The sequence below is a fragment of the Homo sapiens genome, chromosome 16 (assembly GCF_000001405.40).
Source record: "Homo sapiens chromosome 16, GRCh38.p14 Primary Assembly".
Lineage (NCBI taxonomy): Eukaryota > Metazoa > Chordata > Mammalia > Primates > Hominidae > Homo > Homo sapiens.
The window spans coordinates 67845136-67872838 of NC_000016.10; the positions used below are offsets into that span (position 1 = coordinate 67845136).

The following is a 27703-nucleotide window of genomic DNA, read 5'->3' on the forward strand; positions in this document are numbered from 1 at the left end:
TTTGTCTATAGCTCCAAGTAATTTAGCTCAAAGCCAATGTCTAAAAGTAAATGCCTTTAAAGCTCTGGGTTTACTGTGGGTGGTGGGGCACAAACGGAGACTTTCAGACCCCATAAAATATGACTCCCTTCTCTTTCTTACTTATGGACAAAGCCATCTGCCTGGGGACTTGTCTGTGGCAACATGCTGGGATGGTCCTAAAACTCAAGTCTCTGTTTCCCTTCTAGTCCCTTAGCACTGAGTTGGGAAAGTGGTGGGGAAGGAGTGAGACATAGGTTGTGTAGGTGGCTGGTTGGGGGATGGACTGGACCTCTGTCTTCCTAGGGTTAGATCTGGCTGGTAATCAGGTGGTGGAAGCACTGCAGTGCCCTTTGTTGCTCCTATTGGGCCAGTCTCACATCTTCCCGGTCGGAGCAAGGCCTTTTCCAGGATCCAGCCATGCTCTTCAGTGTATCCTTGAGCTCCTATTTATTGAAGGGACTTCTGCTGTTTCTGCATTGGCTCCCTTGAGGCTCTCAGCAGTACTCCCTGGACCCTCCCTGGTGTCTGGAGGTTATGGGCAGTGTTTTGGCTTCTTAGGGAGAAGAAGACAGTTCACAGAGCAAGGGAGATCCCAGATGCAGATGTATAAGCGGGGCAATGCAGAGTTCTCACTAGCTGAGTAATAAGCATCTAGTCAGGCAAAGTGTAGTGTTGACAGACCTGAGATTTAAAAAACAGAAGTGTGGTCCGGTCTTACCAGCCATCTCTTGGAGGGGTAGCCTGTGGGTGGGGGAAGGTGCAAAACTCTTGTGGAAGAACAGGAGTACTGAGAGACCTCCGGCCAGGAAGGAAGGCTAGGAGTTGCCTGGAGAGGCCTTGTAGCCATTTCCCTTACCTGTGGTACCCCAAGTTGGCTGCAGATCTCTTTGCCAAGCACAGGTCTGACCTAGAGACTGGCCTTACCACAAATGTTTGTGTTACCAAGAAAACAAATGGGCGTTGAAAGGAAAGGGCAATGGGTAGGAAGAGAACTATTTACAATCTGGTCACTTAAATCACAGCGAAATTTTGGGTAAGTCAGTCATTTCTCTTTCCTCATTAATAAAAATGAAACACTTAGCTGCTCTATCTGCTGCAAAAAAACCTTACAGAATGTTTTGGGGGGACCCCTGACTGTAGAAGTTTGAGGGTAACCTCTCCAACCAAGCCCCACCTGAGGGACATTTGAGTCTCCGGCCCAAGAATAGCCTAGCCTGCTCGAAACCAGCTTTGGGCCCGACTCGCCGAGGTGCAGGCGCACGAATGTTGGGATTGCAGGAGCTGTGCGTTCCGCCCGGGCTGGTTAAGGCCACACAGCTCGGAAGAGTAACAGCGGCAGCCATAGCCCCAAGGGGAGGGGGTTTCGTGAGCGGAAACGGCCCAGGGGCCCAGGGAGGGGCAGCTGGGCCAGCTTGGGGCCGGGCTGGGCTCCCACGGAGGCGGGGCCAACCCCCACCCCAGTGCACAGACTGGGCGGGGCCGAGCCAGCTGAGACCAGGAGACAACTGAGCCCTGACCCTAGCCTGGCGCCAACCTCTAGTGTTCCAGAGGCTTCCGCTAGACCACAATTCTCAGGGGCTTGCCCCGGCAGCCTCCCTCCCTGGCTTAGCCTCACCTCCCGCGCTGCGGGCCGTGTCTGGGCCTCCGCGCATAGCACGCCGGGAATTGTAGTTTTCTCTCGGCGCGCTCATGCCGGAAAGGGGGGGCGGTGGGACTGCGTCTCCCAGAGTGCAGCGGGGCGGGCGAAGGAAGGCAGGGGGGAAGGGACAGTCGGCCGCAGACCGCGCTGGGTTGCCGCTGCCGCTGCCGCCATCGTGCCAGCCCCTCGGGTGAGTGTCGGGGCCAGCACGCCGGGGCGGGGGCTGGGCCGCAGGAGCCGCTCTCTGGGCTGCCGGGAGGCTCCGCTGAGAGTCCCCGGGCGGCCCCTCCCCTCCCCCCCCCCCGGCGGCCCGAAGCCGCGCGGGGCCCGGGCCATGTGTCGCGCGCGGCTCCGCCTCCCGCCGGTCCTGTGAGGCGGCGGCCGGGGGTAACGCACAGAGAGCCAGCCGGGCGCCTATCTGGGCCGTACCGTGCTGGTGGCTGGTGCACCGGCCTGCGCCATGGCCAGGCCTTTTTCTCTAGTCAGGACCGTCCGGATGGGGCCTTAGGGCCCCGCCCCGTCTAGCCTGGCCCGGCCTGCGCGAGCCCCGCAAGCTCTGCAGGCTGGCTAGCGGGCAGACCCCAGCCCCACGTCCTGCTACCCACCTACGAAGGATCCGGGGATGGGCAGCGCCACCCGGCCCGCTCCAGAGTCAGCATGGGTAAGGGCGCCCGCCTGCCGCAGCCGGGGCTTGGGCCCCTCACCCTGTTCCCGACCATAGCCCGGCCGGGGTGTAGGTGAACGCCCCCTCCTTGTCTGCCCCTCGGAAGTGTACGTTTCTTACCGCGCCCTTTGTGGAGCCCGGACTGGAGTTCTCGCAGGGAGGGCAGGGTCAGGGAATATGAGGCGGGAGGGGATTCCACGGGAGACTTTATCCCTGTCTTGTCTTAGAGGATCTGGGCCTGATGGGGTGAGGCGGCTCCTGCCGGGTAGGCCCAGCCCACGCCCTTCTCTATCAGTGACCAGGCCCCAGCAGCAACACAGAATTGCCCCGCAGGACAGGATGACTTCATAAGAATGGGATGTTAAGGTGGGACTTAATGCACGGGAAGTAGAATTCAGGCCTGAGGTTCTTGAGCCTAGTGCTAAACCAGAACCTGGGCTGGAAGGGGCTTTGGGGGGTGGGGCACGTAGATTTCAGACTTTGTGGGGCCCTCCCGAAGCCTGGGTGGCAGAACTAGGGCTGGAAGCTCCAGAAAGTCTGGCTTCCCCTCACTTGCTTGCTCACTTCCCAACAACTGGAGCTGCCTGTAAACAGGCAGGAACCTGGTTGCTTTATGAAATTGCCCTTACTGATGCCATCAGAGACCCTACTGAGTTCTGGGGGAAGAGTTATCTTTGACCAAAAAATACTATCCTGATATCCTTTGTAAAGGCGCTTCTGATTGAGAGATGGTAAATTAAGGAACCAGTCCAGAGAAGACCTTGGGACTAGGGGAGAGATGGCATGTAAAGCGTTGATTTCTCTGAGCCGCAGTCTTTCCAGAGACTAAAGAAGTAGCTCAGGCCTGGCGCGGTGGCTCACGCCTGCAATCCCAGCACTTTGGGAGGCCAAGGCCAGCGGATCACCTGAGGTCCGGGGTTCCAGACTAGCATGGCCAACATGGCAAAAGCGCATCTCTACTAAAAATACAAAAATTAGCTGAACGTGGAGGTGCACTTCTGTAATCCTAGCTACTCAGGAGACTGAGGCAGGAGAATTGCTTGAACCCGGGAGGTGGAGGTCGCAGTGAACTGAGATCATGCCACTGTACTCCAGCCTGGGTGACAGGGCAAGACTCTGTCTCCAAAATAAAAAAAGCTGGGTGTGGTGGCGTGCACCTGTAATCCCAGCTACTTGGGAGGCTGAGGCAGGAGAATCGCTTGAATCCGGGAGGCAGAGGTTGCAGTGGGCAGAGATCATGCCACTGCACTCCAGCCTGGGCGACAGAGCAAGACTCTGTCTCAAAAAAAAAGAAAAAGAAAAAAAAAAAAAGCAGCAGCAGCTCAATCTCTGCAGCTCTGGCCTCAGGAGCAAGCAGAATATCAGGTCTCTTAGAAGGGCTGATTGAGACCCAAGGTGAAGAAAGCCACTGACCCTGCATATTTTTTTCTTCCTCCTTGAATATTTTCCCAGGTAATGTTTTTCTGTTCATTTCTGGTCACTTCTTCCAAGTACTCTTGACCTAGAAGTTTTCTTGCATATGAATTGCTCTGCCTAGTTATTCTCCCTGGTCAGGAAGAATAGGCAAGAATGCTGCTCAGATTTTACCAAGCCCTGCCTTCTCTCTGGATGTAACTTTCCTAGTCCATATCCTGGCCCATGAGGACATGGAAATCAGGTTCATCCAAGAGGCTCAGGAGAGGCCAACTTTGCCAGTGGAGCTGGGCAATAAGGAGGGACTACCCACAGGACAATGAGGTGAAATCTAGAACTAGAAGCAGTTATTTCAAGACCCTGTAGATTGTCTGCGTGGGTACTTTCTAGGACACAGATTTCAGGTGAGCTGGCTTACGGCTATGGCGTAGTTTGCGTATTTCATGGCCCTGGGTGACTTGACCAGGAGAGTTTTTGTTTTTCTCTCGAGACGGAGTCTCTCTCTGTCACCCAGGCTGGAGTGCTGTGGTGCGATGTCGGCTCACTGCAACCTCCGCCTCCTGGGTTCAAACGATTCTCCTGCCTCAGCCTCCCTGGTAGCTGGGACTACAGGCGCACGCCACCATGCCTGGCTAATTTCTGTATTTTTAGTAGAGAAGGGGTTTCACCATATTTGTCAGGCTGGTCAAACTCCTGACCTCAGGTGGTCTACCTGCCTTGGCCTCCCCAAAGTGCTGGGATTACAGGCATGAGCCACTGATCCCGGCCTAATTTTATTTTTATTTTTATCTATTTATTTATTTTGAGACGGAGTCTCACTCTGTCACCCAGGCTGGAGTGCAGTGGTGCGATCTCTGCTCATTGCAAGCTCCGCCTCCCGGGTTCACAGCATTCTCCTGCCTCAGCCTCCCGAGTAGCTGGGACTACAGGCGCCCACCACCACGCCCAGCTAACTTTTTGTATTTTTAGTAGAGACGGGGTTTCACCGTGTTAGCCAGGATGGTCTCGATCTCCTGACCTCGTGATCCGCCCGTCTCGGCCTCCCAAAGTGCCGGGATTCCAGGCGTGAGCCACCACGTCCGGCCTTATTTTTATTTTTTGCAGTGATGTCATCTCCATATGTTGCCCAGGCTGGTCTCAAACTCCTGAGTTCAAGCGATACTCCCACCTCAGCCTCCCAAAGTGCTGGGATTACAGATGTGAACAATTGCCCAGTGATCACAAGGGTTTTCTTCAGGGACAAAAAGATACTTTTCCTTCTCCAACGTTACTCAAGAGTAGGAGGAATTCAGGTCCCTCCCTCTCATTCCAACCTCTAGAAGTTCCCTGTAACTTCTTTTTTTTTTTTTTGAGATGGAGTCGTACTCTGTCTCACAGGCTGGAGTGCAGTGGCGCGATCTCGGCTCACTGCAAGCTCCGCCTCCCGGGTTCACGCCATTCTCCTGCCTCAGCCTCCCGAGTAGCTGGGACTATAGGCACCCGCCACCACGCCCGGCTAATTTTTTGTGTGTTTTTAGTAGAGACAGGGTTTCACCATGTCAGCCAGGATGGTCTCGATCTCCTGACCTCGTGATCCACCCGCCTTGGCCTCCCAAAGTGCTGGGATTACAGGCGTGAGCCACCGCGCCTGGCCGTTCCCTGTAACCTCTTTGTCTGAGGTCAGCTAGCCATTGCTAGGCATCCTGATCCTGAGAATTCGTTAAATGTTTCTGGAACTTGGCGGGCCATCTAGGTCTCAGATATAAGAGAAGTGGCCTGAGGTTCTCCAGGATCTATCTGCATCCTCTATTCATGTAGGGCTGACTTGGAAGTGGGACCTGGCATGCGGTGGTTGGGATATTGCCGCACAAGGATGAGGCAGGATACAAGATGCCTCAGTTCTCAATTAGCTCAAAATTATGTCCCTTCGTGTATAGGAGCCTATCTGCCTATCACTATTTTTTTTTGAGACAGAGCCTCGCTCTGTTGCCCAGGCTGGAGTGCAGTGGTGCAATCTCAGCTCACTGCAACCTCCGCCTCCTGGGTTCAAGCAATTCTCCTGCCTCAGCCACCCGAGTAGCTGAGATTACAGGTGCCCACCACCACACCCAGCTAATTTTTGTATTCTTAGTAGAGATGGGGTTTCACCATATTGGCCAGGCTAGTCTTGAACTCCTGACCTCAAGTGACCCACTCGCCTTGGCTGCCCAAAGTGCTAGGATTACAGGTGTGAGCCACCGCACCTGGCCGAGCCCATCTCTTCTCTCTGAGCCATGTCTTGTTTTATTCCGTTGCCTTTGGAGTTGGTGGTTTGGGAGGGGAATAATTACTTAAGAGAGACACAGAATAGGCAGGGTGCGGTGGCTCATGCCTGTAATCCCAGCACTTTGGGAGGGCGAGGTGGGCGGATCACGAGGTTAGGAGTTGGAGACCAGCTTGGCCAATATAGTGAAACTCTGTTTCTATTAAAAATACAAAAATTAGCTGAGCATGGTGGCAGGTGCCTGTAATCCCAGCTACTTGGGAGGCTGAGGCAGGAGAATCGCTTGAACCAGGGAGGCGGACGTTGCAGTGAGCCAAGATTGTGCCACTGCACTGCAGCCTGGTGACAGAGTGAGACCCTGTCTCAAAAAACAAGGGAGACCAGAATTTTGTTTTTTTTATTATTATTATACTTTAAGTTCTAGGGTACATGTGTACAACTTGCAGTTTTGTTACATATGTATACATAACGCCATGTTGATGTGCTGCACCCATTAACTCGTCATTTACATTAGGTGTATCTCCTAATGCTATCCCTCCCCGCTACCCCCGCCCCAGGACAGGCCCCGGTGTGTGATGTTTCCACCCTGGAGACACAGAATTTTCAAATTTCAGAACAAGTCTGGGCGCAGTGGCTCACGCCTGTAATCCCAGCACTTTGGGAGGCTGAGGTGGGTGGATTACTTGAGGTCAGGAGTTCAAAACCAGCCTTACCAACATGGAAAAACCCTGTCTCTACTAAAAATATGAAAATTAGCTGAGCGTGGTGGTGCATGCCTGTAATCCCAGCTACTCAGGAGGCTGAGGCAGGAGACTCGCTTGAACCTGGGAGGCGGAGCTTGCAGTGAGCTGAGACTGTGCCATTGCGCTCCAGCCTGGGCAACAACAGCGAAACTCCATCTTGAAAAAAAAAAATTCATAACTAGAAGCCACCTTATATCAAAAATTCTAGGATTCAGCACCAGCTCTGAAGCTGGAGCATTGCTTGAGGCCAGGAGTTCAAAACTAGCCTTGTCAACATAGCAATACCCATTTCTACAAAAGAAAAATAAAAAAATAGCCAGTGTGGTTGTGGTGTTGTATACCTGTAGTTCCAGCTGCTCAAGAGGCTGCAGGAGGTCAAGGAACCGTGAGCTATGATCATGCCACTGCACTGTAGCCTGGGGACACTCTAGCAAGACCCTGTCTCCAAAAAAAAGGCTAGGTTTCCCTTAACAAAACACTATTATCTTTTTTTCTTTTTTTTTTTTTTTCACCCAGGCTGGAGTGAAGTGTCACTCTTGCCCAGGCTCAAGTGCAGTGTCGCAGTCTCGGCTCACTGCAACCCCCGCCCTCCGGGTTCAAGCAATTCTCCTGTGTCAACCTTCCGAGTGGCTGGGATTATACCCGCCTGCCGGTATAATCCGGCTAATTTTAATATTTCTAGTAGAGATGGGGTTTTGCCATGTTGGCCAGGCTGGTCTCAAACTCCTGACCTCAGGCGATCCGCCCACCTCAGCTTCCCAAAGTGCTGGGATTATAAGCTTGAGCCACCATGCCTGGCCTTTTTTTCTTTATTTTATTTCTTTATTTTTTTATTTTTTGAGACAGAGTTTCGCTCTTATTGCCCAGGCTGGAGTGCAATGGCGTGATCTCGGCTCACTGCAACCTCTGCCTCCTGGGTTCTAGCGATTCTCTTGCCTCAGCCTCCCTAGTAGCTGGGATTACAGGCATGTGCCACCACGCCTGGCTAATTTTGTATTTTTAGTAGAGATGGGGTTTCTCCATGTTGGTCAGGCTGGTCTCGAACTCCCGACCTCACTCAGGTGATCCACCCACCTTGGCCTCCCAAAGTGCTGGGATTACAGGCATGAGCCACCGCTCCCGGCCCTTTTTTTCTTTCTTTTTAAAGTTTTTCTTAGGGTACATCAGCAGCCTTTTTATTTTATTTTATTTTATTTTAATGAGATAAGGTCTCACTCTTTTACCAACAGTGAGACCCTGTCTTTAAAATAAATTAAATAAATAGAAACCAGCCAGGTATGGTGGTGGGTGCCTGTAGTCCCAGCTACTTGGGAGGTGAGGCAAGAGGATCACTTCAGCCCAGAAGTTCAAGTCTGCAGTGAGCTGTGATTGTGGCACTGCTAAAGTGCAGTTGGTGCCATCTCAGGTCACTGCAGCCTTGACCTCCTGGGCTCAAGCAGTCCTCCCACCTCAGCCTCCTGAGTAGCTGGGACTACAGGTGCGCACCATCACGCTTGGCTAATTATTATTATTATTTCTGAGACGGAGTCTCACTCTGTCTCCCAGGCTGGAGTGCAGTGGCACGATCTCGGCTCACAGCATCCTCCACCTTCTGGGTTCAAGAGATTCTCCTGCCTTAGCCTCCCAAGTAGTTGGGACTACTGGCTCCTGCCACCATGCTTGGCTAATTTTTGTATTTTTAGTAGAGACAGGGTTTCATCATATTGGCCAGGCTGGTCTCGAACTCCTGACTTTGTGATCTGCCCACTCAGCCTTCCAAAGTGCTGGGATTCCAGGCATGAGCCATTGTGCCTGGCCACACCTGCTAATTTTTATATTCTATTTTTTAGTTTTTGTGGAGACAAAAGTCTCACTATCTTGCCCAGGCTGGTCTTGAACTCTGGGCTCAAGCAATCCTCCTGCCTCAGCCTCCCAAAGTCCTGGGATTACAGATGTGAGCCACTGTGCCCAGCCAAGTTTTACAACTTCTTGTAGAGACGGGATCTCACTGTGTTGCCCAGGCTGGTCTCAGAACTCTTGAGCTCAGGTGATCCTCCTGCCTCAACCTCCCAAGTACTGGGATTATAGGGAACAGCCACCACGCCTGGCCTGTTGTGCATGGCCTTCTTTTTGAGATGGAGTTTCGCTCTGTCACCTAGGCTAGAGTGCAGTAGCATGATCTCAGCTCACTACAGCCTCTGCCTTCCAGGTTCAAGCAATTCTCCTGCCTCAGCCTCTCAAGTAGCTGGGACTACAGGCACGCGCCACCACGCCCAGCTAAATTTTGTATTTTTAGTAAAGATGGGGTTTCACCATGTTGGTTAGGATGATCTTGATCTCTTGAACTCTTGGTCTGCCCGCCTTGGCCTCCCAAAATGCTGGGATTACAGGCGTGAGCCACTGCTTGCCTGGCCTGTGCGAGGCCTTCTAGTCCCCTGCTTGGAGCATGGGTTTGTGGCTTCTCCTCCTTTCACTGAGACCCTCCTATGGTCACTTTAAGTGCCCAATAGTTGTTCCTGTGGTGGTACCCATCAGGGCATCTTCCCAGGCACCAGACAGGAATTCTCCACAGAGGTGGGAGGTTCAGCAGACCTGGTCAGGGAGGCTCCTTGGATGTTCCTTCAACAGATGGCCCTTGCCTGGGGGCTTACAGAGGGAAACAGGAGACAGCAGGGACTTTGGAAATACCAATAGCGCTTGTTTTAGAATCCAATTCAGACCATTTTCGTTGAGGCCTCCAGGACAGAGGAATAGTCCTTTTGGGGCAAGGGGAGTGAATCCTAAAAGTTTTCCACAGAATAGACATTGAAAGTTGGGCATGATTTCTTGGCCGGGCACAGAGGCTCACACCTGTAATCCCAGCACTTTGGGAGGCCAAGGTGGGTGGATCATCTGAGGTCAGGAGTTTGAGACCAACCTGGCCAATATGGCAAAACCCCGTCTCTACCAAGATTCCAAAAAATTAGCAGGGCATGGTGGCAGGTACCTGTAATCCCAGCTACACGGGAGGCAAGAGAATTGCTTGAACCTGGGAGGCGGAGGTTGCGGTGAGCCAAGATCGCGCCACTGCACTCCAGCCTGGGCGACAAAGGGAGATCTCTGTCTTTAAAAAAAAAAGTTGGGCAGGATTTCTTTAAGCTGAGGTTGAGCCGAACCTTGTGCTGGGTGCTGGTTTGTTTTTTTTTTTAATTAATGTTTTGATAGGGCATTTGAGAATGATGTTTGTGTGTTTGCAGTTCAGTTTGAGTTGGCTACCCCTTTCCTGGCTTTGTGATTCTGTGATTCTCTCTTCCTTTGATCATATATGGCAGGAATTCTTGAGTCCCTCCCTCGGGGAGCCAGCAGTGTATGGATTATCCTTGGAGTGACTTAGGTCATGTGATATTATTCACCCTCTTTTTCCTCACCCTATCAGCTGGAGTGTGCCCTCCTGGGCAGAATGCTTTGCTTGGGTCTGGGTTTGGCTGGGAACGTGTCTTAGTGGCCAAGGGAGAGGGACACGAGGCCCAGGGTGGCCTGCCTAGGGGCCACAGGGCTCCTACTGCTGGCTGACCAGTGGCCAAGAACTTCTTTTCATTGTCTGGGGCGTTACTCATTTGTTGCTGTACCTGCTGTGTGCCAGCTCCTTAAGCCCCCAGGCTGGAGACAGGGCTGCTATGGGGATAGGGAACCCTTATTAGAGAGGGGTTTCTGGGGTACCTGGGAACTGAGGGCTGTTTGTCCCAGTGTCCTCAGTAAACTGGGGGAATTTTGGAATGTTTGTTTCTTAAAGTCTCGAATGATTCCATCAGAGCCAGTGGGTCTCCCGAGGGCAGAAACTGGAAAGCTTGCTGCCCCAGGAAAGAGCTCTGTGTGGAGATACTGGTTCCACTTGCAGGTGGTTTCAGGACTAGGAGAATGCAAATTCTCAGTTGTCCTAAGGTGTAAAGCTGCTTTGACCTGCTGAGTAGGTGCTCAGGTTCTTCCATTCTGAGGCTCCATGGAGCTTGCTGATTTCATAGGGGAAGACAAGGCCTGGGCTGCATTCCTTGCCACCCGATTTTTTTTTGGCGGGGGGGGGGGATGGGGGAAATGAGAATAACTTTATTTCATTGCGGGGAGTGGGCAGATGTCCAGCCTCAGAACTTCTGGAACTGCTTCTTGGTGCCAGCGGCCTTGGTGACCTTGAGCACGTTGAAGCGTACTGTCTTGCTCAGGGGCCGGCACTCACCCACTGTTACGATGTGGCCAATCTGGACGTCCCTGAAGAAGGTGGACAGGTGTATGGACATGTTCTTGTAACACCTGATTTTGTCACTTAGGTGCTTTCTGCTACTCCACATTGGCTCTCAGCTGTTTGCATCTCGGCCAGTTTTTTTTTGTTGTTGTTGTTTTTTGAGACAGTCTCGCTCTGTCGCCTAGGCTGGAGTGCCGTGGTGTGATCTCAGCTCACTGCAACCTCCACCTCCCAGGTTCAAGCAATTCTCTGCCTCAGCCTCCTGAGTAGCTGGGATTACAGGCACCCACCACCACGCCTGGCAAATTTTTATATTTTTAATAGAGACAGGGTTTCACCATCTTGGCCAGGCTGGTCTTGAATTCCTGACTTCATGATCCACCTGCCTCGGCCTCCCAAAGTGCTGGGATTACAGGCGTGAGCCACCATCCCTGGCCCAGTTTTTTTTTTTTTTTGCTTTTGTTTTCCTTTTTGAGTCGGAGTTTTGCTCTCGTTGCCCAGGCTGGAGTGCAGTGGCGTGATCCTGGCTCACTGCAACCTCTGCCTCCTGGGTTCAAGCAATTATCCTGCCTCAGCATGCGGAGTAGCTGGGATTACAGGCGCCTGCCACCACACATGGCCAATTTTTTGTATTTTTTATAGGGATGGGGTTTCATCATGTTGGCCAGGCTGGTCTCAAACTCCTGACCTTAGGTGATCTACTTGCCTTGGCCTCCCAAAGTGCTGGGTTTACAGGCATGAGCCACTGTGCCCGGCCCCATCTCGGCCAGTTTTGTGGACATTCTAATGCTGGCTATGCCAGTGGCCTTTTGTGGTCTTAAATTCTTTCTTAACCTCTTGGAGTCTTTGTTTCCTTGTCTATAAAGTGAAGATAATCATACCAGCTTCACAGGGCTTGTTGTGAGACTCAAGTGAGAGAATACAGAAGTGTTTGACTCACAGGAGGTGTTCCCTCCACCACTCTGTGGACGCCATGGTCATCCCTTTATTCCCTGCTCTTCTCAGTCTCAGCGTGTCACAACAGTGTTGGCCAGGCCACAGGAGTGGTCACTTAGGGGTCTCAAGCCCCATTAGGGGAGCCAAGTCCATGTTTACCTGACAATCAAGTTCATGGCCTGAGGCTCAGTTCACAGATGGGAGCTGTGTAGAAGGAATGGGGCCCCAGAGGTCTTCTCAGTCACTGGGGAAAGGGAGGTTACATAGGGAGTGAGTGCAGAGCAGAGACCAGAATGCAGGTCTCGGGATTCAGCTGGGCCAGTCAGGGAAGCCCAGTGGCTCTAGAACCCTCCCTGCAGGCAGAAGAGGAGGAAGGGGCCCTTAGGGTGCTGTGGGCACCTAGACCTCAGGTGACAGCCCCAGGAAAGGATTCTGTCTTGGCCAGCCATCTGGGCTGATTGCACTCCATCCTTCAGCCAGGGGAGTGGCGGGCCAGGCAGTTTCCATTCCTGATTCTAGGCCATCTCCATGGTGTGGGCGAGATACCTACCTTCTTCCTAGCTGTTGACCTAGTATTCACCTAGGAACCCATACTGACTCCTTACAGCTGGGTCCTGCTCCATACCCCATTCATTACCTCCTAACATCCTACAATTACTAATGATGGGACAGAGTCAAAGGGTCAAATAACAAGGGAGAAGTGGAGCAGGCTAGAGGCCAGGTCTTTGAGGGTGTGGCTGTGCCTGCTGTTTAGCCACAGCTGTCTCTCACTAGGACCTTGGGAATGAGAGAGTATTGGGGCCAAGCCCCAATTGCCACATGCCATAGACAGATAGCTGGGTGGACAACAAATAATTGTTTCCTCACAGCTTGGACAGAAGGTGTGGGTGGAGGGGAAGTGGGTCAGTAGGCCACTTGAGTGGAGTTTGCCCAGAACTTACTCCTCCTCCAGAGAAGAAGGGCTGGCCTCTCAGCCCAGGCTCTGACACACTCATGCACTTAGTCAACAAATAGTTTGTTTGAGGGCTGGGCCAGGTACCATGGGAACAGGGATGACTAGGGGTGCTTTGTCAGGGAGATAGACCGTAAACAAATACCAAACTGTGACAATGTCATGCAGTGATAAGTGCTAAGAAAACAATACAGGAGGCAAAATGGGTAATCAGACAGCTACTTTATTATTTATTTATTTTAATTGAGACCGAATCTCACTCTGTCGCCCAGGCTGGAGTGCAATGGCATGATCTCGGCTCACTACAATATTTGCCTCCCTGGTTCAAGTGATTCTACCACCTCAGCCTCCCGAGTAGCTGGGACTATAGGCGCATGCCACCATTTCTGGCTAGTTTTTGTATTTTTAGTAGAGACGGGGTTTCACCATGTTGGCCAGGCTGGTTTCAAACTCCTGACCTCAAGTGATCTGCCTGCTCAGCCTCCCAAAGTGCTGGGATTACAGGCGTGAGCCACTGTACCTGGCCACTAGACAGCAACTTTAGACTAAGGGGTCAGGGAAGGTGTGAATGAGGAGGTGACATTCGAGCTGGCACATATGTGACACACGAAGATCTAGGAAGTAGAGTGGTCCAGATAGAAGGAGCAGCAGTTACAAAGCCCTGCGATGAGAACAGACTCAGCATGTTCCAGATAGAGGAAATTGCCTGGTGCAACTGTAGAGGAGGGGAGGGAGTGGCAAGAGATGAGGTTGGACAGCCAGGAGGGCCAGGTCACCTAGGACAGGATAAGTGGTTGAGACTTTGTTCCAGGTGCCATGGGACAGAATACATAGTAGCACCCCTCCTCAGACCATAAAATCGGGGGACTTCCAGAAGGACTGACACCCAGCAGTGTCTTCCTGTCTGGTTGCTGCTGCTCTGCCTTCAGGACACTTTTTTTTTTTTTTTTGAGACAAGATCTCACTGTGTTGCCCAGTCTGGACCTCCCTGGCTCAAGCCATCCTCCTACCTCAGCCTCCCGAGTAACTGGGGCTACAGGCATATTCCACTATGTCCAGCTTTTTTTTTTTTCCTGTAGACATGAGGTCTCACTATGTTGTCCAGGCTGGTCTTGAACTGCTGGGCTTAAGCAGTCCTCCTGCCTTGGACTCCCAAAGTGTCCGAGGGATTACAGTCATGATTACAGGTGTGAGCCACCACACCCGCAAGACGCTTTTTACACTCTGGCTCCGAGGGTTTGTTTTTGTTTGTTTGTTGAGATGGAGTCTCACTCTGTTGCCCAGGCTGGAGTGCAGTGGGGTGTTCTCAGCACACTGCAACCTCCACCTCTCAGGTTCAAGCAGTTCTCCTGCCTTAGCCTCCCAAGTAGCCGGGATTACAGGTGCATGCCACCACACCCAGCTGATGATTTTTTTTTTTTTTTTTGAGGTGGAATTTTGCTCTTGTTGCCCAGGCTAGAGTGCAATGGCACAATCTCGGTTCACCGCAACCTCTGCCTCCCGGGTTCAAGCGATTCTCCTGCCTCAACCTCCTGAGTAGCTGGGATTACAGGGAAAAATTAGCTGCCACCATGCCCAGCTAATTTTTTGTATTTTTAGTAGAGACGGGATTTCTCTATGTTGGCCAGGCTTGTCTGGAACTCTCGACCTCAGGTGATCCACCCGCCTCAGCCTCCCAAAGTCCTGGGATTAGAGGCGTGAGCCACCGCGCCTGACCTGATTTTTGTATTTTTAGTAGAGATGGGGTTTCACCATGTTGTGCCCAGGCTGGTCTGGAACTCCTGACCTCAGGTGATCCACCCGCCTTGGCCTCCCAAAATGTTGAAATTACAGGCGTGAGCCACTGCGCCAGGCCTTTTTTTTTTTTTTTTTTTTTTTTTTTGGAGATGGAGCCTCACTCTGTCACCCAGGCTAGAATGCCGTGGGTCGTTCTTAGCTCACTGCAGCCTCCACCTCTCGGGTTCAAGCAATTCTGCCTCAGCCTCCCGGGTAGCTGGGATTACAGGTGTACACCACCATGGCCAGATATTTTATTATTTTTTTTTTTCTTTTTTTTTGAGATGGAGTCTGGCTGTGTTGCCCAGGCTGGAGTGCAGTGGTGCAATCTCCACTCACTGCAAGCTCCGCCTCCTGGGTTCACGCCATTCTGCTGCCTCAGCCTCCCAAGTAGCTGGGACTACAGGTGTCTGCCACCACGCCCAGCTAATTTTTTGTATTTTTAGTAGAGACGGGGTTTCACCATGTTAGCCAGGATGGTCTTGATCTCCTGACCCTGTGATCCGCCCACCTTGGCCTCCCAAAGTGCTGGAATTACAGGTGTGAGCCATCATGCCCAGCCTTTTTGTTTGTTCTGAGGCAGAGTCTTGCCCTGTCACTCAGGGTGGATTGCAGTGGTAAGTTCACAGCTCACTGTAGCCTGGACCTCCCAGGCTCAGGTGATCTTCCCACCTCAGCCTCCTGAGTAGCTGAGACTAAAGGAGTGAACCACCATGCCCGGCTAATTTTTAAAATTTTTTGTAGATATGGGGCTTTGTTGCTGAGGCTGGTCTGGAACTCCTGGACTCAAGTGATCCTCCTGCGTGGGCCTCCCAAAGTGCTGAGATTACAGATGTGAGCTACTATGCCCAGCCTTGGGCCTGAGGGGTTTAAGCCATGTTGGCTATCAGTTTCCCTGTTGGAGGAGTCCTTTCCAGGCTGTGCCTCAAGGCTGTGTTTTTGGCCTCCGTGATAGCATGTGTGGAGGATAGCCACGACTGGTACCAATTTTGGGGCCCTCACTGTAGGCCATGCAAATCTGCTGGCATTCCCTGTGGGCTTCAGCAGACACATGAGAATCTTTCTGTGTGCCAGTCTGGAAGGAGTGATAGCGTCTTCTCGATCACTCTCCTGCCTCAGGCTAGGATCTCTGTCTGCTCTGTCTGCTTTGCTGAGATGGTAGAACAGGGTTGTGACCTCGAAGGTTTGAGAAAGCTGACATCATCCTCCATGAAAACTCCTGTTGTTTGGACTCTAGGTTTGATGTGGAACTCTTCTGCCTGAGGCCTTTGTTTGGAGGTGGAAGCCCTGGTTCAGGACTGCCTTGCCCCTTTCTGAGAGAGCCAGGCTCAGAGGAGTGCTCTCACTGATGTAGTCTGTTCTTGTCTCCAGGCCCACGTTGTCACTAGAAGTCCTGACTCTGGAGAGGCCTCCAAATCTGGTCAGTCCAATTCCACCACCTATCAGCTGCTGACCTAGAGCGAGTTGGAGTTGGCTAACCTCGCTGAATCTCCTTTTGGTCATCTCTAACAAGGGGGTTGACTCACAGGGTGTGGTTACAAACAAGTGCACATAAGCTCTTTGCACATTTCTGTGCCTCATATGCATTAGTGAAAATGAAGTGTTCACAGCCAGACAGTTATTTTGAGTTTTGTTCTTGGAAACACTTAAAATTGGAAGATAAAAATGGAGTTTTTCTGTTGTCTAACGGGATCTCCTGGGTCAGAGGTTTTAACCTGGGATCTATGGCTGAACAGTTGAAAATTATTCACAAGGCTGGGGCATCTCTACCTCTGTGCAAATGTGTTGGGAGAGGGCCACAGTTGCTGAGACATTCTTGGAGGGTCTTTGCACTCACAGAGACCTAAGGGTCAGTGAAGGCTGGTGTTCAGTGGGTGAGAGGTCATCAGAGTCTTTTCTGCTCCTCAAGGAGCCTGGCCTCAGCCTGCGGACTGTTGGGGTGAAGCAGGAGATGGTGTGGTCAGCGGCCCTCTCACAAGAGCTGTAGGAGAAGCTGTCATGATGGTCAGTCCCCAGTCTAATGTGAGGCTGCCTCTGAGCCCGGGCTTTTTTGTTTCCAGCCTGTTACTTGCACAGTAAATGTGTTAGAAACAAGATCAGAGCTTGCTGGCTATTCTGGGGAACATCTTCCAGCCTGGCCTGGACCCCTCCCTCATGTTGCATGGGGATAGGATGGGGGCTCTGCACTCTTGCTTCTTTTTTTGGACTCAAGAGTGTTGCCTCCCGTGGGAAGGGTGGGGATCGCAGGAGGGGACTTTCCTGTGTACAAAACATGGTGAGCAGGCTCTCGGTAGGTTCTGTTGTGTCTGTATGTAGCTGGATCGAGGTAGGAGGGAATGGCTTAGGGAGATGGGGATGAGGGTGGATGGCCACCTGTGGAGCTTAGGGAGTTTGGCCTTTAAGCCAAAAGCAAGGGTGTTTGTAGGGGAGGAGCATGGTCAGCTTTGTGGTTTAGAGCTCAGGGATGCAGAGTTAGCAGAAAAAAGAGACGGGCCTTGACCAGAGGACCCAGTGTCAGCACTGATGTACCAGGTGAGCTTAGGGCAAGACCCAGCGACATCACTGGATGACAGTGGATTCTGACTATGTGGCTGTTGTGATCACTACTTGGAAATAAACACAAGACAGTGAAGCAGGCCTCAATCCCACATAGTTTTGAAGGTTCCTTGTCATTTTCTGGGAGCCCCTGATGTGTCCTATTCCTCAGAGAGCTTACTCTTCCCCACTCTTCTCTGCCCTACCAGGCCAAAGGGTCTTTCTCTTCCTTTATCCCTCCACCCCATTTCCTTCCACCACCACTTCAGTCAAGGAGTTTTTGTATCAGAAAGTTATCACAGGCCAGTTATGGTGGTGCACGCCTGTAATCCCAGCACTTTGGGAGGCCAAGCTGGGTGGATCACTTGAGCTCAGGAGTTTGAGACCAGCCTGAGCAATATGGTGAAGCCTGGTCTCTACAGAAAACACAAAAAGCAGCCAGACGTGGTGGTGCTTGCCTGGAGTCTCAGCTCCTTGGGAGGTTGAAGTGGGAGGATTGCTTGAGTCCTGGAGGTCAAGGCTACAGGGAGATGAGATGGCATCACTGTACCCTGACCTGGGGGACAGAGCGAGACCCTTTTCATGCCCCGGGACATTTGCTGGTGCTGTTTCTTCTGGTTGGCATACCCTTTCTGAGGACTGCCCAACTTTGCTCTGAGCCAAGGGTAGAAGGAGATGTGGCCCTTATCCATTCCTCCAGCTTTTCCCCTACCCTCAGAGCTCTTAGGCAGTGGGTATGGCACCTTGGAAGCTGCAGCAGGGTCAGGGCACATTGAGTGACTAAGCATAGCAAGTACCAGGTGGACGGGGCAGAAATGCCAGAGGTGGGAGCTGTGCTCTGCCTTAGGTCCTCTAAGTTTGTGTGTGAGTACAGCCAGTGTCTGACCTCTTGGAAATGTGACCAAGACCACAGTGAAGACTAGATGATGGTCCTGTGCTTTCCCCACTTGTTGATTTCTTTCTTGGCAGAGTATGAACTAGGACACACCTTGTGTTCCTGTGTGGCAGGCGTGACTGGATCCAAGCTTTCTCCCCTGCTTGCTTTAGATTTTCCTGGACATTTCTTAGTCATCCCAGCACTGAGCTTCTATTTTTAGTGCCACTACCTCCTAGGGGACCTAAAATAAAGCTGGCTTAGCTTCCTGCTCCCTCATTGGCTTGAGTGTTGGTCACAGAGCGGAGGATTGGCTGCGTTCTCACTCTTTCCCTACACGATTCCTCCCCGCTGGCTCCTCTGGCTTTGGGCGAGGTCACACGGACTGGAGTGAGCTAGCACTTACCATGTTGAGCTGAGGGCTTTATCATGTTCCTTTAGAGAAGCTTCACAACCACCGGCACTGTCAGGTTGCCATCCCCATCTTATAGTGGAGGAGGCTGAGGCCCTAAGAAGGGCAGTGACTTGCATCAGATCCCACCACTGCGAATGCTTGTCTGCTGGGGTGGAACCCACCTCCTCACTGCTTTGGTTCAGAGTCCTATTATCAGGACAGAGGGAGTGGGCTCCTCTACAGTTGGGGCCATCCACAGAAAAACATGTGGGTCTGCAGTCAGGGGATCTGCAGCAAGATGTGGGCTTCCCTACTTGGAAGCAGCCTAGCAAAGCCCAAGCGGCTCTCCCATCTGGGGCTTGGGTTTTCCATCCAGTATCCTTACAGCCATGGTCTCTAGTTGGGAGGGGGCCTCCTCTCAGAGACCCGAGAGAGACAGCTCCTTAGGGTAAAAGCAATGCTGGGATGAGGGGATATGAAGGGATGACACGTTTCCCTTCACAGCCTCCATCCCCTCTTCCCACAACCCTCAGCTTTCCCTCTGATCCTTGAACTCATGTCCCCAGCTCTGAAGTGGGTAGGAGTCACTCCCATCAATGAAGAAATATCCTAGAAAGGGCCAGGTCAGGTAATCACCTGGCCTCGGGGAAGTAAACTGCCCCCATGAGACTAAGGGATCACTTGCTGTTTTTGGCAGAGGAGGGCCCTTGGCTGGGTACAGTGGCTCACGCCTGTAACCCCAGAACTTTGGGAGGCCAAGGCGGGTGGATCACTTGCAGTCTGGAGTTCGAGACCAGCCTGGCCAACATGGTGAAATCCCATTTCTACTAAAAATACAAATTAGCTGGGTGTGTTGGCAGGCGCCTGTAATCCCAGCTACTCTGGAGGCTGAGGCAAGAGAATCACTTGAGCCCAGGGAGCGGAGGTTGCAGTGAGCCAAGATCACGCCATTGCACTCCAGCCTGGGCAACAAGAGTGAAACTCTGTCTCAAAAAAAAAAAAAAAAAAAAAAAAGAAGAGGGGCCTTGAGAATCTCCCCACATCCTCACTGGGTCTTCCATCTGTCAGCGTAGCCCTGGGACAGTGTTGGGGGCCTGAGGGCTGTAGTACAAAATAGTACACACACACAGGTATCAGTTGTTCTTGGCTGTAAAGTGGGAAGAATAGCAATAACTCTGTCCTTGCAGGTTGTTGAGAGGATTACATGGAAAGATACTGGAGGAGTGCTTAACTCCTCCCATAAGGCCCCTCCCCTTACTGGGCTTTCAAGGGCCTGCTCTGACCTTTCTTTGTTGTAGATCTACCCTTAGCACCCCTCCTGTGTGCTCCACGACCCTATCATCTATGTGTCTCATCAACCAAGAACTCAAAGGAGAGGCTGGGTCTGATCTACCTCTGGGCTCCTAGCACTGGTCTGGCTTGGGAGGGGTCTCCTGCCAGTTCCCCAGGGCCTGTCCGTGTTCTCTGAGAGAACAGATCTCAGCAAAGGACTCCAGGAAGGCCAGTGAGGGGTGGGGGTCAGTGGCTGGTCACCTACTCTCATGGTACCAATGCTTCCCTCCTGGTCTCATTGGTCTTGCAGGTCTCCGTGAGGCCGGGTGACGCTCCAGAATGGGAGACAAGCCAATTTGGGAGCAGATTGGATCCAGCTTCATTCAACATTACTACCAGTTATTTGATAATGATAGAACCCAACTAGGCGCAATTTACGTAAGTTTCCAGCTCTAGGGCCAGAATGGACCCTAGGGGATCAATTTGGATGTTGGGCCAGTGTGTCCAGTTCACAAGTTCTGGCAGCCCTATCTGGACTGGCTACACCTCTGTATCTGAACTTTTGTCCACGGGACAGGGGTCTGACGCTTGGCCCAAGTAATTACCTGGTCTATACTTTTCCTTTTGTCAACTTCCACAAGAGTGAGAATCCTGCTGTTCTGGGCTTGCCATTCCATGTGGCCAGCATTTGTCATGGCACATGGTTTTGGATTGGGCAGCAACAGGCAGAGGTTAGGGCTCATGGTGCCCTCTGGAGGCAGCAGCCATGAGCATCCTCAGTGCAAAGCTGAGCTCTCTTGGAGGCCTGGGGTCCAGCTTCCTTTTGGATCCAAGGCTCCTGAATGCTCATGGAAAACAAATGAGGTTAGCCCAGGGAGGCTGATAGGTCATTTCACAAACCCTTCTATGCAGGCATTGCTGGCTGCTCTTTTTTTTTTTTTTTTTTGAGATGGAGTCTTGCTCTTTCGCCAGGCTGGAGTGCAATGGCTCGATCTCAGCTCACTGCAAGCTCCGCCTCCTGGGTTCAAGTGATTCTCCTGCCTCAGCCTCCCGAGTAGCTGGGATTACAGGCGCCTGCCCCCATGGCCAGTTAATTTTTTGTATTTTTAGTAGAGATGGGGTTTCACCATGTTGGCCAGGCTGGTCTCGAACTCCTGACCTCGTGATCCTCCCACCTTGGCCTTCCAACGTGCTGGGATTACAGGCGTGAGCCACTGCGCCCGGCATTTGCTGCTCTTTTAACGATGTTCATATACACCAAGAACTAATTGTACTTGACTCTGCCTGAGAGTCAGTCACAAAAATGTGATTGATCAGGCAGGTGAGCCCAGGATGGGGGTGTTAGGAGTAATCCAGGCACAGTCTCAGAGCCTGATTGGGCTGACTCTCCACAGTCTTCTGTGTCTGTCTCCAGAAAGTCAGTGTCCATTCAGAAATTTTGGAAAAAATAATGAAATTTTATTAGTGGAAGACCAATTCCAGCACAGATATTTGATTGTCATTATCATAGTAGAGTTTTTTTTTTTTTTTTTTGAGACAGAGTCTCACTCTGTCAACAAAGCTGGTGTGCAGTGGGGTGATCTCAGCTCACTGCAACTTCTGCCTCCTGGGTTCAAGCGATTCTTGTGCCTAGCCTCAGGAGTAGCTGAGGCTACAGGCATGCACCACCAAGCCTAATTTTTTTTTTTTCTTGAGATGCAGTCTCACTCTGTCGCCCAGGCTGGAGTGCAGTGGTGCAATCTTGGCTCACTGCAATGTCCATCTCCTGGGTTCAAGCTATTCTCCCATCTCAGCCTCCCAAGTATCTGGGACTACAGGCACGTGTTGCCATGCCCGGCTAATTTTTGTATTTTTTAGTAGAGATGGGATTTCACCATGTTGGCCAGGCTGTTCTTGAACTCCTGACCTCAGGTGATTTGCCTGCCTCAGCTTCCCAAAGTGCTGGGATTACAGGCATAAGCCACCGCGCCCGGCTACACCTAATTTTTGTATTTTTAGTGGAGGTGACATTTCACCATGTTGGCTAGGCTAGTCTCCAACTCCTGACCTCAGGTGATCTGCCTGCCTTGGCTTCCCAAAGTGCTGGGATTACAGGTGTGAGTTACCATGCCCAGCATAGAGTTTTTGAAACCTTGAAGTGATCTGACCTGAGATCCTGGCACTTGTGCCTCATTATCACTCTCCCTTTTTTTTTTTTTGAGATGGAGTCTCACTCTGTCACCTAGACTGGAGTGCATTCATGCGATTTTGGCTCACTGCATCCTCTGCCTCCCAGGTTCAAGCAATTCTCATGCCTCAGCCTCCCAAGTAGCTGGGGTTACAGGCACGCACCACCATGCCCAGCTAATTTTTGTATTTTTAGGAGAGACGGGGTTTCACCATGTTGGCCAGGCTGGTCTGGAACACCTGACTTCAAGTGATCTACCCACCTTGGCCTCCCAAAGTGCTGGGATTACAGGTGTGAGCCACTGCACCTGGCCTCATTATCTCTTAAAGCAGGCCTGAGCCAGAGAAGAGAGTTAGCAAGGTCCTAAAAGAACAATTTATATTTATTATTTCATAATACTCAGCACATTACCCCTTTGAAGGTTAGGAAACTAAGACTCAGAGAAATAACTTACTTAATGTCACAGCTAGTAAGCAGCAGAAGCCCTTTTGAGTTCTGCCCTTGAAGGCTGTGGAAGGGAAGATTTGAGGTGGAACTAAGCTAAGTGGGTTACATTTGAGATTTTGCTTCTTGGTGGTAGGGAGGGTCCCAGACTAGGCCTTGGAAGGCCCTGTCAGCCTCTATCTCTCCCTGACCCCATGGGTATCCAGAAGGCTAGCTAGAAAGTCCACAGTGGAACTTAGCCTCGGCCCTGGAGGGTGATGAATGTGGAATTTTTCCAAGTTATTTCTGATGACTTTTTTTTTGAGATGGAGTCTTGCTCTGTCACCCAGGCTGGAGTGCAGTGGTGCGATTTCGGCTCGCTACAAACCGCCGCCTCCTGGGTTCAAGCAATTCTCCTGCCTCAGCCTCCTAAGTAGCTGGGATTACAGGCGTGCGCCACCATGCCTGGATAATTTTTGCATTTTTAGTAGAGTTGGGGTTTCACCATGTTGGTCAGGCTGGTCTCGATGTCCTGACCTCGTGATCTTCCCGCCTTGGCTTCCCAAAGTTCTGGGATTACAGGCGTGAGCCACCGTGCCTGGCCACATTTCTGATGACCTTTTGGGACTGACACTGACTGACCACACAGCAGGATGGCTGAGCTCAGGCCAATATAGCCCTCCTGGGCCTATGCATATCAGAGACCATATGACTTCTTAAATACAAATGGGAAGTATATTTTATTAAATAGTCTTTCAAAGCCTGGGCCCAGGGTCAATGGGGTAGAAGATGTTGATAGTGTAATGTTTGGGGGCTATACTCAGTCTCCTTCTTTAGACAGGGAAACTGAAGTGTGGCCACACTTCTCCAAGCAAGGCCCTTTTCAGAGTCTTTCCAGGGCCTTAGAGATACTTGTACTCTGAGGCCCCAACCCTGGGGTTTCCTGTGCCTTTTTCAGATTGACGCGTCATGCCTTACGTGGGAAGGACAACAGTTCCAGGGGAAAGCTGCCATTGTGGAGAAGTTGTCTGTAAGTAGGGAAGAAAGCCAGGGTGCAGGTGGCTCCTTTCCCACCCCTTCTGGCCTTGGTTCTCCCACCTCCCACTCTCTCTCTTGTAGAGCCTTCCGTTCCAGAAAATTCAGCACAGCATCACCGCGCAGGACCATCAGCCCACTCCAGATAGCTGCATCATCAGCATGGTTGTGGGCCAGCTTAAGGTAATGGTACTGCCACAGTGGTAGGGAGGGGTGGGCAGGCAGAGGAGAGTCTTGTACCCCTGCTTTCCCTGTGGATGTGACCTGCTTATCTAGGGACACCCAGACAAAGTGACTGTCTAGAGCTGCGTAGTTCAGTATGCTAGCCATTAGCCACATGTAGGTGGCAATTTTTAAGTTATATTAATTAAGATTAAATAAAATGTACTTCTTCGGTTGTACTAGCCATATAGAACATTTTTGTGACTGTAGAAAGTCCTATTGGCAGACACTGGTCTAGAGCCTTTATCTGGAAAAGGGAGAAGTATAGGAGTAGGATGGGACTGGGGTGCCAAGCCACTAGGCTCCCACTCTGCCCTAAGGTCAAGGTGGACAGGCTAGCTGGGTGCGGAGAGGCAGTCCACTCCTGCAGCCCTTGCTACCACTCCTCAGGCTGGCTGCTGGCTCCTTGCCTGCTGAGCAAAGCAGATTCCTGGAACTCCTATTTCTTTTTTTTTTTTTTTTTGAGACGGAGTCTCACTCTTGTTGCTTAGGCTGGAATGCAGTGGCACAATCTCAGCTCACTACACTTCTGCCTTCCGAGTTCAAGCAATTCTCCAGCCTCAGCTTCCCAAGTAGCTGGGATTACAGCTGCCCGCCACCACACCCAGATAATTTTTTGTATTTTTAGTAGAGACAGGGTTTCACTATGTTGGCCAGGCTGGTCTTGAACTCCTGACCTCAGGTGATCCACCTGCCTCGGCCTCCCAAAGTGCTGGGATTATAGGCGTGAGCCACCTATTTCTCTTTGCATTTTCCTTCCTCCTTCTCAAGACCTATTATTCTCAGAGACTTCCTGTGGTCCCTCAGACCCCCCAAGAACTCTCCAAGGACCTGTTGTGCTTCAGCATATTAAAGTCAGATTCTGGGCTGGGCGCGGTGGCTCACGCCTGTAATCCCAGCACTTTGGGAGGCCGAGGCAGGCAGATTACCTGAGGTCAGGAGTTTGAGACCAGCCTGACCAACATGGAGAAACCCTGTCTCTACTAAAAATACAAAATTAGCCAGGCATGGTGGCACATGCCTGTAATCCCATCTACACGGGAGGCTGCGGCAGGAGAATCGCTTGAACCTGGGAGGCAGAGGTTGCGGTGAGCTGAGATTGCACCATTGCACTCTAGCCTGGGCAACAAGAGTGAAACTCTGTCTCTAAATAAATAAATAAAGCCAGATTCTGTTTACAAAAACACCCTTCTTCCCAAAAATAGCAGGACAAATTGGCTGCCCCTCGGCCTGGGCTTGTGTCTTACAATAACATGGTCACATGCTCTCTTTCTCTAGGCTAGCCGGGACAGGGCTTCCTGAGTCCAGAGTGGGTGTGTAGGTGGTCCTGTGGGCCTCTGCAGTGGACGCAGAGGCACCTGCTTTCTGGCCTGGACTTTCCTGTCAGTTTCTCCTGCCTGTTCAGGATGTCCTGCTCAGTGCCTGTGCCTGAAGAGGCACAGAATTCAGGAGGTCTCTGTAGGGAGCTCATTGTTCACTTTCTCAGGCAAAGGTAGTAAACACTGCTGCTTCCCACCGGCTTCAGGTTCTTCCTGGTGATTCTGTCCAATTTGGAGCTCCCAAACAACTGATTTGCCTCCTTGATGACGATAATTCCCAGAAAGCAGGTGATGTTAGAGACAGTGCTGGTTAGCTAGGCTCCTATTTCAACTAGGTCTCATCCTAGTTTTCTGCAGTTTGGCTGCAGGTTTCTTGCCCTTTTTTTTCATCTCAAATACTGTTTATTACATGACAGGAAACATCATTGGATAGTGAACCTATGTTTTCAAGATTGTTTGCAGTTTTTTTGATACTCTATAAGTTACTTGGTAAATACTATGGGATTCGTTTCAAAATTGTGATCACTTGTGTCTGGAGATATGTGCTTGGAGGCAGGTACATCCTCTGCTCTTTTGCTGTAGCTAAGGGTGAATTATTGTGCAGTTTAAGCACACATAGCACACATAGGCGTGGCTGATTGTTGGCCTACATGTGCCCAGGGCATTGTTTCATACATTACATCAATTCACATTCACAAGTACCCCTTGGCTACACTGGGATTTGAGTTCAGGACAGTAGGGCCTGATCCTAAAGTCAACATTTTTTTGCCCTCTTCTCCTACCACTGAATTCCCTTCCTGTTTCTTGATCCCCTTACTGAATCCTCTTTTCTCTCCTCATAGGCGGATGAAGACCCCATCATGGGGTTCCACCAGATGTTCCTATTAAAGAACATCAACGATGCTTGGGTTTGCACCAATGACATGTTCAGGCTCGCCCTGCACAACTTTGGCTGACCTCCTCTCAGCTAGGCACTCACGCTGTTTCCTCCTCCCTCCTCTTCCCAATACTATTCCCACTCCTCCAGATGCTCCAAATATCATGCACAAATGAGCAGGGCCGCGGTGGGAGTGGGCGCAGTGCGCTGCTGCCACTGAGGTGTTGTGCATGATGTTTGGATGCTAGACTAGTTGCATCTGACGGGAGAAGTTTGTGTTGTACCAGCGCATGCCTTGGAAAGACTTAAGTAATGCAAAAGGTTGTCCTTTTTTTTTTTTTTTTTTTTTTAATCTACTGACAAGTTGCTCTAGTAACCCAAAGAAGTGAAGGAGAAAGCAGCTGCCTCACCGCCCAGACATTGATTTGTTCAGATGTTTCAATGCCTCATGATACAATAAAACCACAAAAATTTTCTTAACAGTTTAAATTGTTTTAATTAGTTTACTAGTTGGCTGGGCATCAGAAGCTACCCAGACCCGTTGTCTCTCTCATGTTTCACCCTCCCACTTCTGCCCCAACTCTGAATACCTGTTGCAGGGAGAAACTGCTGAAGCAGCACTCCCAGCTAGCCTCTCAGAAGCCGTGTAGGGCAGTTCTCTCCCACTCCACAGGGCGACTGGTCTTTGGAAAGCAGGCAGGAAGAGCTCAGGTCTGGCCTGAAGCTTCTCTCACTGAAGCCTGTGCAGTCAGTTCTGATACCTCCTGTGACTTCTGCTCTGGGTAGGTTCAGGGCCCTAGTAGCAGGAGAGATGATCCTGAATCCTGTTGAAGCTGGAGAGGCCTTGGCAAAATGGCTCATCACGTTCAGGCCCTCCGGGCTGAGTTGTCAGCAGTATCAAGGGAGGGGCCTGCTCTATCCCCAGAAGGATCAGGATCATATCCAGGATGCCCCACATACACCAAGCCAGGCAGAGGGCAGCTCAGCTCCTGTCCCATCTGCTTTGGATATCTTTACCCAAAGGCAGGTAACCCGAAGAGCCAGCCTCCACTGCCCACAGAGCCAGGCCCAGTTGTGTTGGAGTATAGGTCAGGAGCTGTGGAAGGAGGCAGTCTGTGAGGGACTCATGCTTTAGGAGTCCTCACCCCTCAGACTGCTGCAGGACATTGCCAGGCCTCTCTCCACTTCCTTCCTCAGCATACAGACTTCATGCTATCTTCCAATTCCGGGGAGTCTTAGCTATTAGGGCAGTTTCTGCTTCTCCATTTTGGGGACAAAGGCCTTGCCCAGTACAAATCTAGCCCCTTGTCCCACAGACTTCTGGATGGTATAAACCTAGTGGCAATGTAGCAACCATAGGCTAGAACCAAACCCAAGATTTGGGTCAGTGCCCTGTTAAGGGTTTTAGGATTGGTAAGGACACCACAGCTAAATCTGACATGTAAAAGGATACCCTTCCCCTGTCCCACTACGGGTGGAGGCTAAGGACCTCCTCAGATCCCACAGATTGCCTGGTGACATTGGGCACAGGGCTGGATGGTGTGCTGTTTGAGAGGACAGCATGCTCAGGAGATTTCAGTGGGAATGATCTCTAGGCTGATGTGTATTTGGGGAAGTGGGGGTGGGGAAGAGGTAGGTGCCTGCTGCCTCAAACCACCTTGTGTAAAATCTGCAATACGGCTTCTTCCATGTACCTGTGCCTGAACTGTCTGCAATAAAGAAGAATTTGTAAACTGTGGTTTCTTTCTTCCAACCTGAGGGTGCCAGGTGGGACAAGGGGATGCTGGGGGACAGTAGGGAACAATGACTGGTCATTGTAGTGGGATCATCTCCCCTGCTCTTGCAATTCCTGAGTTTTATGACCTCGAGGGTAGCCTCAGGCCTTGAGTTATTCCGACCCATTCCCAAAGGGAACCTGAGGCACCTGCCAATTCAGCATATTCTGGGGGTCTGAGGGACCTTAGCATGGGCGGCTAAGTTGACCCCGTCCCAGGACCATCGGAG

At 51.3% G+C, this 27703-nt stretch overlaps 2 protein-coding genes across 6 annotated transcripts in view, besides 3 other annotated features; one reads left to right on the forward strand and one right to left on the reverse strand.

Moving 5' to 3' along the window:
• CENPT (centromere protein T) overlaps nt 1–2558 on the reverse strand; it is a 19537-nt gene extending 16979 nt beyond the window's left edge. Inside the window, exon 1 of the mRNA NM_025082.4 lies at nt 2266–2558. The gene's annotated coding sequence lies outside the window, so the exon portion shown is untranslated. The remainder of the gene's footprint in view (nt 1–2265) is intronic.
• Nucleotides 1284–1553: a silencer, noted in NCBI's record as "silent region_7628". NCBI's record gives its function as "represses an Ori minimal core promoter by ATAC-STARR-seq in GM12878 lymphoblastoid cells {active_cell/tissue: GM12878}" and the evidence as "EXISTENCE:reporter gene assay evidence [ECO:0000049][PMID:35858748]".
• Nucleotides 1754–2103: a silencer, noted in NCBI's record as "silent region_7629". NCBI's record gives its function as "represses an Ori minimal core promoter by ATAC-STARR-seq in GM12878 lymphoblastoid cells {active_cell/tissue: GM12878}" and the evidence as "EXISTENCE:reporter gene assay evidence [ECO:0000049][PMID:35858748]".
• Nucleotides 1798–27432, forward strand: NUTF2 (nuclear transport factor 2). Of its 5 annotated transcripts, none has more exons than NM_001322039.2 (6): nt 1798–1850; nt 2143–2321; nt 19967–20094; nt 23205–23276; nt 23366–23464; nt 25665–27432. In NM_001322039.2, exons 3-6 carry the CDS (start codon nt 19996–19998, stop codon nt 25776–25778), a joined length of 384 nt encoding a protein of 127 aa, NP_001308968.1. In that variant the 5' UTR covers nt 1798–1850; nt 2143–2321; nt 19967–19995; the 3' UTR covers nt 25779–27432. The 5 variants fall into 5 exon arrangements, with proteins under 5 accessions (NP_001308968.1, NP_001308967.1, NP_005787.1 ...); NM_001322038.2 differs by lacking the exon at nt 2143–2321 and adding an exon at nt 15326–15415; NM_005796.3 differs by lacking the exon at nt 2143–2321.
• Nucleotides 2574–2683: an enhancer, noted in NCBI's record as "active region_10991". NCBI's record gives its function as "activates an Ori minimal core promoter by ATAC-STARR-seq in GM12878 lymphoblastoid cells {active_cell/tissue: GM12878}" and the evidence as "EXISTENCE:reporter gene assay evidence [ECO:0000049][PMID:35858748]".
• Nucleotides 27433–27703: the final 271 nt, after the last annotated feature.